We start from the raw sequence: 1,923 nt of genomic DNA, 5'->3' as shown, positions 1-1,923 counted from the left end.
ACATATCCACTTGCAGAATCCAAAGAAAGAGAGTTTCAAAAGTGCTCCATCAGCAGGATTGTTCACCTCTGTGAGTTGAATGCAGTCATCACAGGAAACATTCTGAGAATGCTTCTGTCTAGGTTTGATGTGAAGATATTCCCGTTTCGAAGGAAGGCCACAAAGTGGTCCAAATATCCACTTGCAGATTCTACAAAAAGAGTGTTTGGAAGCTGAACTATGAAAGCAAGGTTCAAGTCTGTGAGTTGAATGCAACATCACAAAGAAGTTTCTGAGAATGCTTCTGTGCAGTTCTGGGAATTTATCCCGTTTCCAACGAAATCCTCAGAGAGTTCCCAATATCCACTTGCAGATTCTACAGAAAGTGTGTTTGGAAACTGCGCCATCTAAAGGAATGTTCAGCTCTCTTAGTTCAATCCAATGATCACAAAGAATTTTCTGTGAATGCTTCCATTTGGTTTTTAGATGAAGTTATTTCCTTTACTACAGTAGGCCTCAAAGCAGTCCAAATCTCCAATCGCAGATTCTACAAAAAGATTGTTTACAACCTGCTCTATCTATAGGAATGTTCAACTCTGTGAGTCGAATGCAATCATCACAAAAAAGTTTCTGAGAATGCTTCCATCTAGTTTTTATGTGGAGATTTTCCTTTTCCACCACAGGCCTCAAAGCCCTCCAAATGTCCACTTGCAGATTCTAGAATAAGAGGGTTTCAGAGCTGCTCTGTCAAGAGGAAAGTTCAATTCCTGAAGTGGAACACAAACATCACAAAGCAGTTTCTGAGAATGTTTCTTTTTAGTTTTTCTGGGAAGATGAACCCGTTTCCAACGAAATCTTCACAGAGGTCCACATATCCACTTGCAGAATCCAAAGAAAGAGAGTTTCAAAAGTGCTTCATCAACAGGATTGTTCACCTCTGTGAGTTGAATGCAGTCATCACAGGAAACATTCTGAGAATGCTTCTGTCTAGGTTTGATGTGAAGATATACCCGTTTCGAAGGAAGGCCAAAAAGTGGTCCAAATATCCACTTGCAGATTCTACAAAAAGAGTGTTTGAAAGCTGAACTATGAAAGCAAGGTTCAACTCTGTGAGTTGAATGCAAACATCACAAAGAAGTTTCTCAGAATGCTTTCCGTGTAGTTCTGGGAAGTTTATCCCGTTTCCAACGAAATCCTCAGAGAAGTCCAAATATCCCCTTGCAGATTCTACAGAAAGTGGGTTTGGAAACTGCTCCATCTAAAGGAATGTTCAGCTCTGTTAGTTCAATCCAATAATCACTAAGAATTGTCTGTGAATGCTTCCGTTTGGTTTTTAGATGAAGTTATTTCCTTTACTACAGTAGGCCTCAAAGCAGTCGAAATCTCCAATCGCAGATTCTACAAAAAGATTGTTTACAACCTGCTCTATCTATAGGAATGTTCAACTCTGTGAGTTGAATGCAATCATCACAAAGTAGTTTCTGAGAATGCTTCCATCTAGTGTTTATGTGAAGATTTTCCTTTTCCACCACAGGCCTCAAAGCCCTCCAAATGTCCACTTGCAGACTCTAGAAAAAGAGGGTTTCAGAGCTGCTCTGTCAAGAGGAAAGTTCAATTCTTGAAGTGGAACACAAACATCACAAAGCAGTTTCTGAGAATACTTCTGTTTAGTTTTTCTGTGAAGATGAACCCGTTTCCAACGAAATCTTCACAGAGGTCCACATATCCACTTGCAGAATCCAAAGAAAGAGAGTTTCAAAACTGCTCCATCAGCAGGATTGTTCACCTCTGTGAGTTGAATGCAGTCATCACAGGAAACATTCTGAGAATGCTTCTGTCTAGGTTTGATGTGAAGATATACCCGTTTCGAAGGAAGGCCACAAAGTGGTCCAAATATCCACTTGCAGATTCTACAAAAAGAGTGTTTGAAAGCTGAACTATGAA

The 1,923-nt window shown here is 40.0% G+C and overlaps 1 annotated feature.

Annotated features, from left to right (window-relative positions):
• Positions 1–1,923: part of a centromere (Linear centromere model derived predominantly from reads generated in PMID: 17803354. This region does not represent an actual centromere sequence, as long-range ordering of repeats and unmapped WGS contigs is not provided by the model. For details of model production, see http://arxiv.org/abs/1307.0035.) that runs on past both edges of the window.

The sequence above is a fragment of the Homo sapiens genome, chromosome 11, assembly GCF_000001405.40.
Source record: "Homo sapiens chromosome 11, GRCh38.p14 Primary Assembly".
In the NCBI taxonomy this organism is placed as follows: Eukaryota; Metazoa; Chordata; class Mammalia; order Primates; family Hominidae; genus Homo; species Homo sapiens.
This window is presented reverse-complemented; position numbering and strand designations above follow the sequence as displayed.